Source organism: Homo sapiens, chromosome 15, assembly GCF_000001405.40.
Source record: "Homo sapiens chromosome 15, GRCh38.p14 Primary Assembly".
In the NCBI taxonomy this organism is placed as follows: domain Eukaryota; kingdom Metazoa; phylum Chordata; class Mammalia; order Primates; family Hominidae; genus Homo; species Homo sapiens.
In genome coordinates this window covers 85,049,484-85,066,149 of record NC_000015.10, presented here as the reverse complement: position 1 = coordinate 85,066,149, position 16,666 = coordinate 85,049,484, and the positions used below count along the sequence as shown (strand labels likewise).

The window sequence follows — 16,666 nt, the reverse complement described above, 5'->3', positions numbered from 1 at the left end:
TAAGTTCTCAGATGGTGAATGCTAATATCTTGGTGAAATTATTAGAATACTTAATCCTATAAATAATGTATTGAAATGTTTGACTCAAGATTTTATGTAATTCCTCCAAGTTAAAAAAAAAATTGCTTTGATTAAAAGAAGAAAGATTTAAAGTAGACCAAAATGTGACACTTCAAAGCCTATCAGTTAAGTGACACAGTCACCAGGTGCAAGAGGTAGCATCTGTGCCTCTGCCCAGGACAGTGGCTGGCTGCCCCAATCACGTCAGTCCTGGCCTGGAGCAAGCGAGGCCTGTATCCATAGCGTCTTCCTTATCCAGCCAGCCTCCTTCCCTCTCTCTCCCTGCTATTCCCACTCCCAATCTGGTTCAGGAGCACCCGTGCTCCATCCCTTCAGAAGCAGACTGAAAATGGGGCAACAGTGGTAAGGAGGAGATGGGCAGCCTGTGAAACAGACTGCAAAGCTATCAGAAACCCTCCTAAGGCTTATTTCTTCCGAGTTTACTCAACTACACAAAGACCATACATGCAAAGAACTAAGAGCACACATTTCTGTCAGCACTTCTCATATATTTTTAAATGTAATAGTGAATGAAACATGTTCATGTGCGGGGAGCATGGATAACTTCGCTGAATTTCAATTGGTTGTTTTCTTTTTTTTTTTTTTAATTATACTTTAAGTTTTAGGGTACATGTGCACATTGTGCAGGTTAGTTACATATGTATACATGTGCCATGCTGGTGCGCTGCACCCACTAACTCGTCATCTAGCATTAGGTATATCTCCCAATGCTATCCCTCCCCCCTCCCCCCTCCCCACCACAGTCCCCAGAGTGTGATATTCCCCTTCCTGTGTCCATGTGATCTCATTGTTCATCAATTGGTTGTTTTCTGTCTCATATTTTGAATTAGATAAATTACAGATATCTTCTCTCTGACAGAGCTGATTCAGCAACATTGAAAAGACAATCTTTTTACTTTTTATATTGGAAAATTTCAAATCTACAGAAACGTGAATGAAAATGAACACTAAACATGCCCTTTCTCTACATTCATCAATTAACATTTTGCCACCTTTGCTTTGCTTTCTCTCTCTCTCTAAACACATACATGTACATACATACAATTATACACATTTTTTATTTATTGCTGAACCAATTTTTTTTCTTTTGTTTGTTTGAGACAGGGTCTCACTCTGTTGCCCAGGCTGCAGTGCAATGGTGTGATCATGACTCACTGCAGCCTTGACCTCCCGGGCTCAGGTGATTCTCCCATCTCAGCCTTCCAAGTAGCTGGGACCACAGGCACACACACCCCCATGTCCATCTAATTTATTGTTGCTGTTGTTGCAGAAACTGGGTCTCCCTATGTTGCCCAGGCTGGTTTCAAACTCCTCAAGGACTCCTCAAGCTCAAGAGATCCTACTGCCTCAGCCTCCCAAAGTGCTGGGATTATAGGCATGAGCCACCGTGCCTGACCTATTGCTGAACCAATGAAAGTAGGCTACAAACACTTCTTCATCTCTAAACACCACAATGTGTATTTCTAAGAACAGGATATTCTCTTATATAACTATAATACTGTTACAGAGTTCAGGGAATTTAACATTGGTCCAAACACTATTATCTAAATGAAAGACTATTTTAAATGTGTAAATTTAGCTCCACCTCCACCCTTTTTAAAGAAAATCAGCATGTGAAAAATACAGCATCGTTCATTATTACCTGAAGTTGATCTTGATGAAATCTCATGGGGCCAAACTGCACATCAGCTACTGCTACCTGTAAGAAAGAGATTGGCTTAAAAATGAAAAGACAACGGAGAAAGAGAAGCTTAACTTTTTCTCTCTCTAAACAGTGCCAAAAATGAAAGCAAAATTTCTATTCTAGAGGCAAATAAAGTAAATAGTAGATAAATGAAATGATTATGAGGAATCCTAAGGATCTCCTTATAGCCCCCAGGAAAAGTGGGGAGCAGGAAAGGAGAAATAAAATGAACAAATAAAATGAATGTGATTCTGGCTTTGCCTTTTACTAGCTACATGTGACTTTAAGTGAATTAATCTTCCTCAGCCTCAACTTCTCATTTGTTAAAGGCCAAATGAGATGACAATATAGAGAGCCCCCCAATAATAGATACTAAATAAACGCTGATTCCCTCTGTGCCTATTTCCATTTTTTTCCTGATGGACAATGAAATCTTACACCCAAATGGCACATGAATAATGCAATCCAGCAGTCAGAACCATGGAATGTCATTGAAAAATGGTTGACACTTTCTATTTTACAGAGGAGCATAATAGCACTTACTGTAAGTACTTATCCATTTGAGAATGTAATGCTAAATCAAAGATAAATGTAATATCATAACCAAACCCCAGTGAGTAATAACAATCACAGCACCAATGGAAGACTTAGTGTGTTCTGGTTACTGTGCTAAGGGCTGCACATGTTATTTCACTGAATCTGATAGTAATGTGGTGAGAGTTTATAGCTAGAAAACTGAAGTTCTAAGTACCCTGCATTAAGACCACACAGCAAGTGGTAGTGCTGGGATTCCACCCAGGTTTGTTTAGCTCCATACACTGTGCTGTAAACTCAGGACCACCAGAAGATTTGAATAGCCTGTATACAACACAAAGGGGCCCAAGGAAGGGAGAAGGTGGGACTGAAAACCAGCTCCAGGTGATGAATTCTGGCACTGGGCTGCTACCCAGGGGAAGAGACACATTTTGTAATTTGCCCAGTGACTCTGTAGGTGTTGATGAGATCCCAATCTGGGCCTCTGTGTGATGGTATGATTCGTCACAGCAACAGAAGAACTAGATCCATAAGACTTCCTACAAAATGTTTCCCAACTGACTGCCCTCCTCCAATCTCTCCCCTCAAACAGTGACCTATTCTAGTAAACACATTACGAAGTTTGCTTAGTGATGGGAGAAAAATCCACATATATTTTTAACCATGAGAAGCTGATGTCTAGTAATTATGGGCCACTGGCTCAGTTTCTGCATTGCTCTGCAATAATTTTATCTCTCAGAAGGCATAAAAAGAATGAGGGTCCCTAATATTCTAGACCAAAGACTGAGGAGGAAGATTCTTCAGTAGGGTGAAAGAGTCAGAACAGACAGTGCATGGTTATTACCTATTCTCTTGAGTTGTGTAACTATGGGCCAGTCTCATACTGGTGTAACTGGATGCCAAAGCCAGAATTTTTATGAGGGAAGATGGTCCAAGAGGTCCACAGGAGAGTCTTAAAAGATGGATTTAGAGAAGACAGTAGAGTAAGAAGCACCAGGAATCTGTTTCCCCACCTAGACAATATTGCACTGGCAGAATATGTCTGATGCAACTATTTTAGGAACAATTGAAGACGTGCAACTTCCAGGGGAAGGCTTGGATGGTAAACCGCAGTTAATTTTAGCTCTTAGCACATAGCAGGTACCCAGGCCCATGGTGGGCAGCTGTGCATGTGTTCCTAAAGCAACCTGAACACAACTTGCAGGACCCAGGGAAGGCAAAAACAACCATGTCCTCCAAATATCAGGGATCTGTGCTCTGATCACTGATACAGAGGTGCAGACAAAGAAGGGGTGCATTGTTGCACTTTCTCCCATTGTTGCAAGCCATTCCCCCTCCAGTTGAAGAGACTTCTAGGAGATTTAAAGGGCTAGTGCCCTTCCTCTCCTTTCATTTTTCTCTTTTATCCCCTTTGAGAGTCAGACATTAGGGACTAAGGCATTGAAAAGCAATGGCATATACAGGGAAAACTAGAAAGTGATTATGCAAGCCTAGGGAAAGGCTTAGAAAATGCCTGAGAAGACCTTGAGTTTACACATTAGACTGATCCTTGGCACAGAGATGGCCTACCACAATTAAAAACAAAACAAAACAAAACAATAACAGCAAATCCTGGGGAAGACGGAGAATGATTTCCAGAGTTACCACATTATTACATTCAAATGTCCAGTTTTCAACACAAATTCACAAAGCACACAAACAGGAAAGTACAGCCAATTCAAATGAAAAAAACTAAATCAACAGCAACCATCCCTGAAAGATACCTAATGGCAGATCTACTAGACAAAGACTTTACAACAACTTCAAGATGCTAAAAGAACTAAAGAAAGATGTGGAGAAAGTCAAGAAAATGATGTACGAACAACATGAAAATCTAAGTAAAGAGATGAAAAAAACTAAAAAGAAACCAAAAATAATTTCTGGAGCTGAAAAGTACAATAACTGGAATGAAAAATTCACTAAAGAGATTCAAAGGCAAATTTGGGCAGGCAAAAGAAAGAATGAGCACACTTAGAGAGGGGACAATTGAAATTATCGAGTCTGGGAAAGAGAAAAAACCTTTAAAAAAATAGTGAACAGAGCTTACAGTGCCTGAAGGACACCATGAAACAAGCTAATATATGCATCACGGGAGTCCCAGATGCTGAAGAGAAAGGGAAAGAAAAAATGTATGAAGAAAATATCCCAAACTTGATGTAGGACATAAAGAAGCTCAACAAACAATAAGTAAGATGAACTCAAAGAGACCCATATCAAGACACATTATAATGAAACTGCTCAAAGACAAAAAGAGAATCTTGAAAGCAGCAAGAACTGGGCGTGGTGGCTCACGCCTGTAATCCCAGCACTTTGGGAGGCTGAGACAGACAGATCACCTGAGGCCAGGAATTCGAAACCAGCCTGGCCAACATGGTGAAACCCCGTCTCTACTAAAAATACAAAAAAAAAAATTAGCTGGGTGTGGTGGCGGGTGCCTGTAATCCCAGCTACTCAGGAGGCTGAGGCAGGAGAATTGCTTGAACCTGGGAGGCAGAAGTTGCAGTGAGCCGAGACTGCACCATTGCACTCCAGCCTGGACAACAGAGCAAGATGCCATCTCAAAAAAAATAAATAAATAAAAAAGAAGAAAAATAAAAAAGAAAGCAGCAAGAAAGAAGCAACTGGTCACACACAAGAAATCCTCAATAAGATTATCAATAGATCTCTCATCAGAAACTTTGGAGGTCAGCTAATCGTCAATCAAAGATCCTATATTTGGCAAAACTTCATTCAAAAGTGAGGGAGGAATTAAGACATCTCCAGAATGAAAAACAAAAACAAAAACAAAAACAAAATAAAACAAACCAAAAAAACTAAGGGAGTTCATTACCACTAGATATGCCCTGCAAGAAATGTTCAAGGGAGTCCTGCAGGGTAAAATAAAAGGACACTAGACAGTAACTCAAAGCTGTCTGAAGAAATAAAGATCTCAATAAAAGTGAAACCATGGATAATTATAAAAGCTATTGCTATTGTATAAATGGCTTATAACTCCTTTTGTTTGTTTCCTACATGATTTAAGAGATGAATACAGTTTGGTGGAAAAAAAAAATCATTGGTCTAAAAGGAAGTATTATTGTAACTTTTGTGGGTAACTACATTTTGCATTTTATTTCCTAAATAAGAGACATTTGAAAGTATTAGTGTACGCTTTTGGGCACACAATGTACAGTTGTCCCTTGTTATCTGCAGGGAATTGGTTCCAGGAACACCCATATATATGAAAATCTATGGATGCTCAAGTACCTTATATAACATATTCCCATTCTCCTCTACGCTTTAAATTGTCTCTACTTACTTATAATACCTAATACAATGTAATGCTATGTAAACAGTTCTTAATGCTGTATTATTTTACATGTTTTATTTTTATTTTCCTAAATATTTTCAATCTTCAGTTGGCTGAATCCATGGACGTGGAACCCACCAATATGGAGGACCAACTACATAAAGCTTTAATTTTGTGACATCAATAACTGAAAAGGGTGGGAATAAAGCAGTATAGGAGTAGAATTTTTGTATGTTATTGAAGTTAAGCTGGCATAATTCAAATTAAATATTTATATAACATTAGGATGTTAACTATAATCCCCATGCTAACCATAAAGAAAGTAGCTACAGAATATACACAAAGGGAAATGAGAAAGGAATTTAAATATTGCATTACAAAAAATCAACTGAACACAAAAGAAGACAGTAATTAAAGAAATGGAAGACAGAAAAGCTATGTGACATACAGAAAAACAAATAGCAAAATGACAGAAGTTAAGTCCACCTTTATCAGTAATTATTTATTTATTTTTAGGGACAGGGTCCTGCTCTATCACCCAGGCTGGAGTGCAATGGCATGATCATAGCTCACTGTAGCCTTGAACTCCTGGGCTCAAGAGATCGTCCCACTTCAGTCTCCCGAGTAGCTGAGACTACAGGTATATGCCACCTCATCTGGTTAATTTTTAAATGTTTTGTAGAGACACAGCCTTGCTTTGTTGTGCAAGCTCAGTAATTACTTTAAATATAAATGGATTAAACTCTCCAATCAAAAGACAGAGATTGGCAGAATGAACCCATCTATATGTGGTCTATAAGACATTCACTTTAGATCCAAAGACAAAAATAGAAAGTGAAAGGATGGAAAAAGATACTCTAATAGTAATCAAAAAAGAGCAGGGGAAGTTATACTAACAGCAGACAAAATAGACTTTAAACCAAAAAAGGCTATAAGAGACAAAGGAGGACACTATATGTTAAACATTCAACAGAGTAACAAGATGTAACAATTATAAGCAATTATCTACCCAATGACAGACCATTAAAATATATAAAGTAAAAACTGACAGAATTGAAGGAAGAGACAGTTCTAAAATTATAGTTGAAGACTTCAACACCCCCCTCTCAATAATGGCTAGACTTAAGCAACACAATAAACCAACAAGATCTAATAGACATATACAGAATGTGCTACCCAATAACAACATATATATTTTCCTCAAGTGCACATGGGACATTCTCAAGGACAGACTACATATTAGGCCACAAATCAAAACTCAATAGATTTTAAAAGATAGATGTAACACAAAGTATCTTAAGGATAAAGTGAGAAATCAATAACAAAAGTAAAACTGGAAAATTCACAAAATTGTGGAAATTAAACAACACAATCTTAACTAACAGATCAAAGAAGAATACACAAGATAAATTAGAAAATACTTGGAGATGAATGAAAACAAAAACGCAACATACTAAAACTTATGGGATGTAGCAGCAAAAACAGGCTAAGGGGAACATTAATAGCTATAAATACACTAGAAAATAAGATCTCAAATCAACAACATAACTTTATAATTTAGGGAACTAGAAAAAGAGAAAACTAAACCCAAAGCTAGCAGATGGAAATAACGATTAGAGCAAAGATTAATACAATAGAGAATAGATAATACAGAAAAATCAAGGAAACCAAAAGCTGGTTCTTTGAAATGATCAACAAAATTGACAAACCTTTAGCAAGATGGAGAAAAAAATAAAAATGACTCAAATTACCAAAATTAGAAATGAAAGTAGGGACATTGCTACCAATTCTACAGCAATAAAAAGGATTCTAAGAGAGTACTATTAACACTTATACACCAACAAATTGGATAATCTGGATAAAATGGACAAATTCCTAGAAGCGCAAAAAGTACGAAGACCAAATCATAAAGAAACAGAAAACCTGAATAGATCTATTACTAGTAAGGAGACTGAATCAGTAATCAAAAATCCCCCAACAAAGAAAACCCCTGGACCCAATAGCTTCACAGGTGAATTCTACCAAGCATTTAAAGAACTAATACAATCCTTCTCAAACTTTTACAAAAAATTGAAGAGAAAGAAACACTTCCTAACTCATTCTATGACGCCAGTATTACCTTGATACCAAAGTTAGGGCCAGATGTGGTAGCTCACACCTGTAATCCCAGCGCTTTTGAGAGGCTAAGGTGGGAGGACTGTTTGAGGCCAGGAGTCAAGACAAGCCTAGGCAAAATAACGAGACCCTAACTCTATAAAAAAGAGAAGAAGAAGAAAAAGCTGGTCATGGTGGTATGCACCTATAATCGTAGCTACTCAGGAGGCTAAGGGAAGAGGATCATTTGAGCCCAGGAAGTCGAGGCTGCAGTGAGACAAGACTGTGCCACTACATTCCAACTTGGGCAACAGAGCAAGACCCTATCCCTTAAAACAAAACAATCATGCCACTGCATTCCAGCCTAGGTAACAAAGTGAGACTCTATCTCAAAAACAAAACAACGACAACAACAAAAGACACTAAAAGAAAATTACAGGCCAATATCCCTTATAAACACTGATGCAAAAATCCTCAACAAAATACTAGAAAACTGAATTCAGCAGCATAATAAAAGGATTATACACCATGACTAAGTGGGATGTATTCCTGAAATGCAAGGATGTATTGACATATGAAAATTGATCAGTGTAATACATTATTGTACAGAATAAAGGACAAAAGCCTCATTCATTATACCTCAAATAATGCAGAAAAGGCATTTAACAAAATTCAATATCCTTTCATGATAAAAACACTCAACAAAATAGAAATAGAAGGGAACTACCTCAACATTTAAAAAGCCATGTACGAGCACAGGAGGTTCCAAGATGGCCGAATAGGAACAGCTCCAGTCTACAGCTCCCAGCGTGCGCGACATGGAAGACGGGTGATTTCTGCATTTCCAACTGAGGTACCGGCTTCATCTCACTGGGGCTTGTCGGACAGTAAGTGCAGCCCATGGAGCATGAGCCAGAGCAGGGAGGGGCATCGCCTCACCCGGGAAGCACAAGGGGTCAGGGAATTCCTGGGTGGAGCCCACCACAGCTCAAGGAGGCCTGCCTGCCTCTATAGACTCCACCTCTGGGGGCAGGGCATAGCTGAACAAAAGGCAGCAGAAACTTCTGCAGACTTAAACGTCCCTGTCTGACAGCTTTGAAGAGAGTAGTGGTCCTCCCAGCACGGAGTTCGAGATCTGAGAACAGACAGTCTGCCTCCTCAAGCGGATCCCTGACCCCCAAGTAGCCTAACTGGAAGACATCTTCCAGTAGGGGCCAACTGACACCTCATACGGCTGGGTGCACCTCTGAGACGAAGCTTCCAGGGGATGATCAGGCAGCAACATTTGCCGTTCTGCAGTATTTGTGGTTCTCCGCTGGTGATACCCAGGCAAACAGGGTCTGGAGTGGACCTCCAGCAAACTCCAACAGGCCTGCAGTTGAGGGTCCTGACTGTTAGAAGGAAAACTAACAAACAGAAAGGACATCCACACCAAAACCCCATCTGTAGGTCACCAGCATCAAAGACCAAAGGTAGATAAAACCACAAAGATGGGGAGAAACCAGAGCAGAAAAGCTGAACATTCTAAAAATCGGAGTGCCTCTTCTCCTCCAAAGGAACGCAGCTCCTCGCCAGCAATGGAACAAAGCTGGACGGAGAATGACTTTGACGAGTTGAGAGAAGAAGGCTTCAGACAATCGGTAATAACGAACTTCTCCGAGCTAAAGGAGGATGTCTGAACCCACTGCAAAGAAGCTAAAAACCTTGAAAAAATATTAGACGAATGGCTAACTAGAATAAACAGCATAGAGAATACCTTAAATGACCTGATGGAGCTGAAAACCATGACATGAGAACTATGTGACACATGCACAAGCTTCAGTAGCCAATTTGATCAAGTGGAAGAAGGGGTATCAGTGACTGAAGATCAAATGAATGAAATGAAGTGAGAAGAGAAGTTTAGAGAAAAATGAGTAAAAAGAAACGAACAAAGCCTCCAAGAAATGTGGGACTATGTAAAAAGATCAAATCTACGTCTGATTGGTGTACCTGAAATTGATGGGGAGAATGGAACCAAGTTGGAAAACACTCTGCAGGATATTATCCAGGAAAACTTCTCCAACCTACCAAGGCAGGCCAACATTCAAATTCAGGAAATACAGAGAACGCCACAAAGATACTCCTCGAGAAGAGCAACTCCAAGACACGTAATTGTCAGATTCACCAAAGTTGAAATGAAGGAAAAAATGTTAAGGGCAGCCAGAGAGAAAGGTCGGGTTACCCACAAAGGGAAGCCCATCAGACTAACAGCTGATATCTCAGCAGAAACTCTACAAGCCAGAAGAGGGTGGGGGCCAATATTCAACATTCTTAAAGAAAAGAATTTTCAACCCAGAATTTCATATCCAGCCAAACTAAGCTTCATAAGTGAAGGAGAAATAAAATCCTTTACAGACAAGCAAATGCTGAGAGATTTTGTCACCACCAGGCCTGCCTTACAAGAGCTCCTGAAAAAAGCACTAAACATGGAAAGGAACAACCAGTACCAGCCACTGCAAAAACATGCCAAATTGTAAAGACCATCAAGGCTAGGAAGAAACTGCATCAACTAACGAGCAAAATAACCAGCTAACATCATAATGACAGGATCAAATTCACACATAACAATATTAACCTTAAATGTAAATGGGCTAAATGCTCCAATTAAAAGACACAGACTGGCAAATTGGATAGAGTCAAGACCCATCAGTGTGCTGTATTCAGGAGACCCAACTCACATGCAGAGACACACACAGGCTCAAAATAAAGGGATGGAGGAAGATCTACCAAGCAAATGGAAAACAAAAAATAGTAGGGGTTGCAATCCTAGTCTCTGATAAAACAGACTTTAAACCAACAAAGATCAAAAGAGACCAAGAAAGCCATTACATAATGGTAAAGGGATCAATTCAACAAGAAGAGCTAACTATCCTAAATATATATGCACCCAATACAGGAGCACCCAGATTCATAAGGCAAGTCCTTAGAGACCTACAAAGAGACTTAGACTCCCACACAATAATAATGGGAGACTTTAACATCCCACTGTCAACATTAGACAGATCAACAAGACAGAAAGTTAACAAGGATATCCAGGAATTGAACTCAGCTCTGCACCAAGCAGACCTAATAGACATCTACAGAACTCTCCACCCCAAATCAACAAAATATACATTCTTCTCACCACCACATCACACTTATTCCAAAATTGACCACAGTTGGAAGTAAAGCACTCCTCAGCAAATGTAAAAGAACAGAAATTATAACAAACTGTCTCTCAGACCACAGTGCAGTCAAACTAGAACTCAGGATTAAGAAACTCACTCAAAACCACCCAACTACATGGAAACTAAACAACCTGCTCCCGAATGACTACTGGATACATAACGAAATGAAGGCAGAAATAAAGAGGTTCTTTGAAACCAACGAGAACAAAGACACAACATACCAGAATCTCTGGGACACATTTAAAGCAGTGTGTAGAGGGAAATTTATAGCAGTAAATGCCCACAAGAGAAAGCAGGAAAAGATCTAAAACTGACACCCTAACATCACAAATAGAAGAATTAGAGAAGCAAGAGCAAACACATTCAAAAGCTAGCAGAAGGCAAGAAATAACTAAGATCAGAGCAGAACTGAAGGAGATAGCGACACAAAAAACTCTTCAAAAAATCAATGAATCCAGGAGCTGGTTGTTTGAAAAGATCAACAAAATCGACAGACCGCTAGCAAGACTAACAAAGAAGAGAGAAGAATCAAATAGACACAATAGAAAATGATGAAGGGAATATAACCACCGATCCCACAGAAATACAAACTACCGTCAGAGAATACTATAAACACCTCTACACAAATAAACTAGAAAATCTAGAAGAAATGGATGAATTCCTGGACACATACACCCTCCAAAGGTTAAACCAGGAAGAAGCTGAATCCCTGAATAGACCAATAACAGGCTCTGAAGTTGAGGCAATAATAGCCTACCAACCAAAAAAAGTCCCGTACCTGATGGATTCACAGCTGAATTCTACCAGACGTACAAAGAGGAGCTGGTACCATTCCTTCTGAAACTATTCCGATCAATAGAAAAAGAGGGAATCCTCCATAACTCATTTTATGAGGCCAGCATCATCCTGATACCAAAGCCTGGCAGAGACACAACAAAAAAAAGAGAATTTTAGACCAATATCCCTGATGAACATCGATGCAAAAATCCTGAATAAAATACTGGCAAACTGAATCCAGCAGCACATCAAAAAGCTTATCTACCATGATCAAGTTGGCTTCATCTCTGGGATGCAAGACTGGTTCAACATACAAAAACCAATAAACGTAATCCAGCATATAAACAGAACCAAAGACAAAAACCACATGATTATCTCAATAGATGCAGAAAAGGCCTTTGACAAAATTCAACAGCCCTTCATGCTAAAAACTCTCGATAAACTAGGTATTGATGGGACATATCTCAAAATAATAAGGGCTATTTATGACAAACCCACAGCCAATATCATACTGAATGGGCAAAAACTGGAAGCATTCCCTTTGAAAACTGGCACAAGACAGGGATGCCCTCTCTCACCACTCCTATTCAACATAGTGTTGGAAGTTCTGGCCAGGGCAATCAGGCAAGAGAAAGAAATAGAGGGTATTCAATTAGGAAAAGAGGAAGTCAAATTGTCCCTGTTTGCAGATGACATGATTGTATATTTAGAAAACCCCATTGTCTCAGCCCAAAATCTCCTTAAGCTGATAAGCAACTTCAGCAAAGTCTCAGGATACAAAATCAATGTGCAAAAATCACAAGCATTCCTATACACCAATAACAGACAGACAGCCAAATCATGAGTGAACTCCCATTCACAATTGCTTCCAAGAGAATAGAATACCTAGGAATCCAACTTACAAGGGATGTGAAGGACCTCTTCAAGGAGAACTACAAACCACTGCTCAACAAAATAAAAGAGGACACAAACAAATGGAAGAACATTCCATGCTCACAGATAGGAAGAATCAATATCGTGAAAATGGCCACACTGCCCAAGGCAACTTATAGATTAAATGCCATCTCCATCAAGCTACCAATGACTTTCTTCACAGAATTGGAAAAGACTACTTTAAAGTTCATATGGAACCATAAAAGAGCCTGCATTGCCAAGACAATCCTAAGCCAAAAGAACAAAGTTGGAGGCATCACGCTACCTGACTTCAAACTATACTGCAAGGCTACAGTAACCAAAACAGCATGGTACTGGTACCAAAACAGAGATATAGACCAATGGAACAGAACAGAGCCCTCAGAAATAATACCATACATCTACAACCATCTGATCTTTGACAAACCTGACAAAAACAAGAAATGGGGAAAGGATTCCCTATTTAATAAATAGTGCTGGGAAAACTGGCTAGCCATATGTAGAAAGCTGAAACTGGATCACTTCCTTACACCTTACGCAAAAATTCAAGATGGATTAAAGACTTAAATGTTAGACCTAAAACCATAAAAACCCCAGGAAGAAAACCTAGGCAATATCATTCGGGACATAGGCATGGGCAAGGACTTCATGACTAAAATACCAAAAGCAATGGCAACAAAAGCCAAAATTGACAAATGGGATCTAATTAAACTAAAGAGCTTCTGCACAGCAAAAGAAACTACCATCAGAGTGAACAGGCAACCTACAAAATGGGAGAAAATTTTTACAATCTACCCATCTGACAAAGGGCTAATATCCAGAATCTACAAAGAACTTAAACAAATTTACAAGAAAAAATCAAACAACCCTATCAACAAGTGGGCAAAGGATATGAACAGACACTTCTCAAAAGAAGACATTTATGCAGCCAACAGACACATGAAAAAATGCTCATCATCACTGGCCGTCAGAGAAATGCAAATCAAAACCACAATGAGATACCATCTCACACCAGTTACAATGGCGATCATTAAAAAGTCAGGAAACAACAGGCGCTGGAGAGGATGTGGAGAAATAGGAACACTTTTACACTGTTGGTGGGACTGTAAACTAGTTCAACCACTGTGGAAGACAGTGTGCCAATTCCTCAAGGATCTAGAACTAGAAATACCATTTGACCCAGCCCTCCCATTACTGGGTATATACCCAAAGGATTATAAATCATGCTGCTATAAAGACACATGCACACATATGTTTATTGCGGCGCTATTCACAATAGCAAAGACTTGGAACCAACGCAAATGCCCATCAATGATAGACTGGATTAAGCAAATGTGGTACATATACACCATGGAATGCCATGCAGCCATAAAAAAGGATGAGTTCATGTCCTTTGTAGGGACATGGATGAAGCTGGAAACCATCATTCTGAGCAAACTATTGCAAGGACAGAAAACCAAACACTGCATGTTCTCACTCATAGGTGGGAATTGAACAATGAGAACACTTGGACACAGGGTGAGGAACATCACACACCGGGGCCTGCTGTGGGGTGTGGGGAGGGGGGAGGGGATAGCATTAGGAGATATATCTAATGTAAATGATGAGTTAACGGGTGCAGCACACCAGCACGGCACATGTATACATATGTAACAAACCTGCACATTGTGCACATGTACCCTAGAACTTAAAGTATAATAATAATTTTAAAAAGCCATGTATGTGCAGCCATAAAAAGGAAAACGATCACGTCCTTTGCACAAACACGGATGGAGCTGGAAGCATTATCCTCAGCAAACTAACAGGCACAGAAAACCAAACACTGTGTGTTCTCTAAGCAGGAGCTGAATGATGAGAACACATGGACATGTGGGGGGAACAACACACACTGAGGCCTGTGGCAGGCGGAGGGAGGGACAGCATCAGGAAGAATAGCTAATAGGTGCTGGGCTTAATACCTGGGTGATGGGTTGATCTGTGCAGCAAAACACCATGGCACACATTTACCTATGTAACAAACCTGCACATCCCTAAGTACCCCGGGACTTAAAAATTGAAGAAAAAAAATTTTTTTAAACAAATTTTTTAAAAAGCCATGTATGAACAAAACCCACAGCAAACATCATAATGAATGGTAAAGGACTTTTCCTCTAAGATCAGGAACAAAGCAAGGATGCCTACTTCTTCTATTCAACATAGAAAGTCCTAGCCGGAGCAATTAGGTAAGAAAAAGAAAAGACAGTCGAAATAGAAAATAAGAAGTAAAATTATCTTTATTCATTTGTATGATCTTATAGGTAAGAAAACCCTAAAGATTCCACACACACATACACAAAAGCCTGTTAGAACTAATAAAGTCAGCAAAGTATCAGGACACAAAGGCAACACACCAAACAAGCTGCATTTCTATACACTAACAATGACCAATCTGAAAAGGAAATTACAAAAAACAATTCCAATTACAATAGCATCAAAAAGAATAAGGCACTTAAGAATTGATTTAACCAAGGAGGTGAAAGATTTGTACAAGTGAAACTACAAAATATTGCTGAAAAATTAAAAAGATTTAATAAATGGAAACATATCCCACATTCACAAATTACAATACTTAATATTGTTAAGATGTCAATACTACTCAGAGCAATCTATAGATTCAATGCAATCCTTACCAAAATCCCAAATATGTTTTTTGAAGAAACAGAAAAACCCATTCTAAAATTCATATGGAATCTCAAGGGATCTCGAATAGCCAAAACAATCCTGAAAAGAACATAACTGAAGAACTCACACTTCCTGATTTTGTGACTTACTACAAAGCTACAGTGATCAAAATAATGTGGTACTAGCATAAAGACAGACATACAGACCAACGAACTAGAATAAAGGGCCCAGAAATAAACCCTTGTGTATAGGGTCAAATAATTTTTAACAAGGGAGCCAAGAACATTCAATGGTGAAAGGAGAGTGTTTTCAACAAATGGTGCTGGGAAAACTGGATAACCACATCCAAAGAATGAAGTTGGACCCTTATCTAACACCATATAAAAAAATTTATTCAAAATGGATTGAAGACCTAAATGTAAGACCTAATACACAGAATTCCTAAAAGAGAATATAGGGCAAAATCTTCACAACACTAGACTTGGCAATGATTTTTTTGGGTATGATATCAATGGCACAGGCAGCAAAAGAAAAAAGAGACAAATTAAACTTCATCAAAATTTTAAAATTTTGTGCATAAAAAGACAACATCAACAGAGTAAAAATGCAATCCACAGAACTGGAAAAAGTAATTGCCAATCATATATCTGATAAGAGAGTAATATCTACAATATATAGAGAACCCCTATAATCCAACAACAACCCAATTCAAAAATGGGCAAAGGACTTGAACATACACATTCTTCTCCAAAGAAGATATATTAATAAAAGAAAGGGCCAATAAGCACATGAAAAGATGCTCAATATCAATAACCAGTAGGGAAATGAAAATCAAAACCACAATGAGACACCACCTCACACTACTACCAGAAAATAACAAGTGCTGATGAGAACATGGAAAAACTGGAACCTCTGTGCCCTGTTGATGGAAATATTAAATGGTATAGCTGCTGCAGAAAACAGAATGGCAATTCCTCAAAAAATTAAAAAAATAGAATTAACATATGATCCAACAATCCCCTTTTGGGTATATATTCAAAAGAATAAAAAGCAGTGATTCAGACAGATATCTGTATGCACATGTTCATAACAGCATTATTCATAATTTCTAAAACATGAAAACAGCCCAAGTGTCTAATGACAGATGAACAAATAAACAAAGCCAGGAGTGGTGGCGTGTGCCTGCAGTCCCAGGTACTTGGGAGGCTAAGGCAGGAGAATCACTCGGGCCTGGGAGTGAGCTCAACACAGTGAGATCCTATTTCTTCCTTTAAAAAATAAAGAATAAATGTATTTTAAAATGTGGTATATGCATAAAATGGAATATTATTCAGCCATAAAAAGGAAATTCTGACATATATGCTATGGAACAGATGAACTGTAAGAACA

The 16,666-nt window shown here is 38.8% G+C and overlaps 1 protein-coding gene across 8 annotated transcripts in view; it reads right to left on the bottom strand.

The window, feature by feature from the left end:
• Nucleotides 1–16,666, bottom strand: part of PDE8A (phosphodiesterase 8A) — a 158,676-nt gene that overhangs the window by 72,993 nt on the left and 69,017 nt on the right. For 7 of the 8 annotated variants that reach the window (XR_007064457.1, NM_001243137.2, XM_047432657.1 and 4 more), the window contains exon 2: nt 1,724–1,780. Coding sequence is in view for 7 of the 8 variants with exons in the window: in NM_002605.3 (NP_002596.1) it covers nt 1,724–1,780 (57 nt within the window). In the remaining variant the exon portion in view is untranslated. Of the gene's footprint in view, nt 1–1,723; nt 1,781–11,705; nt 11,725–16,666 lie in introns of those variants that run through there. The other variant, XM_047432656.1, reaches the window with a different exon arrangement.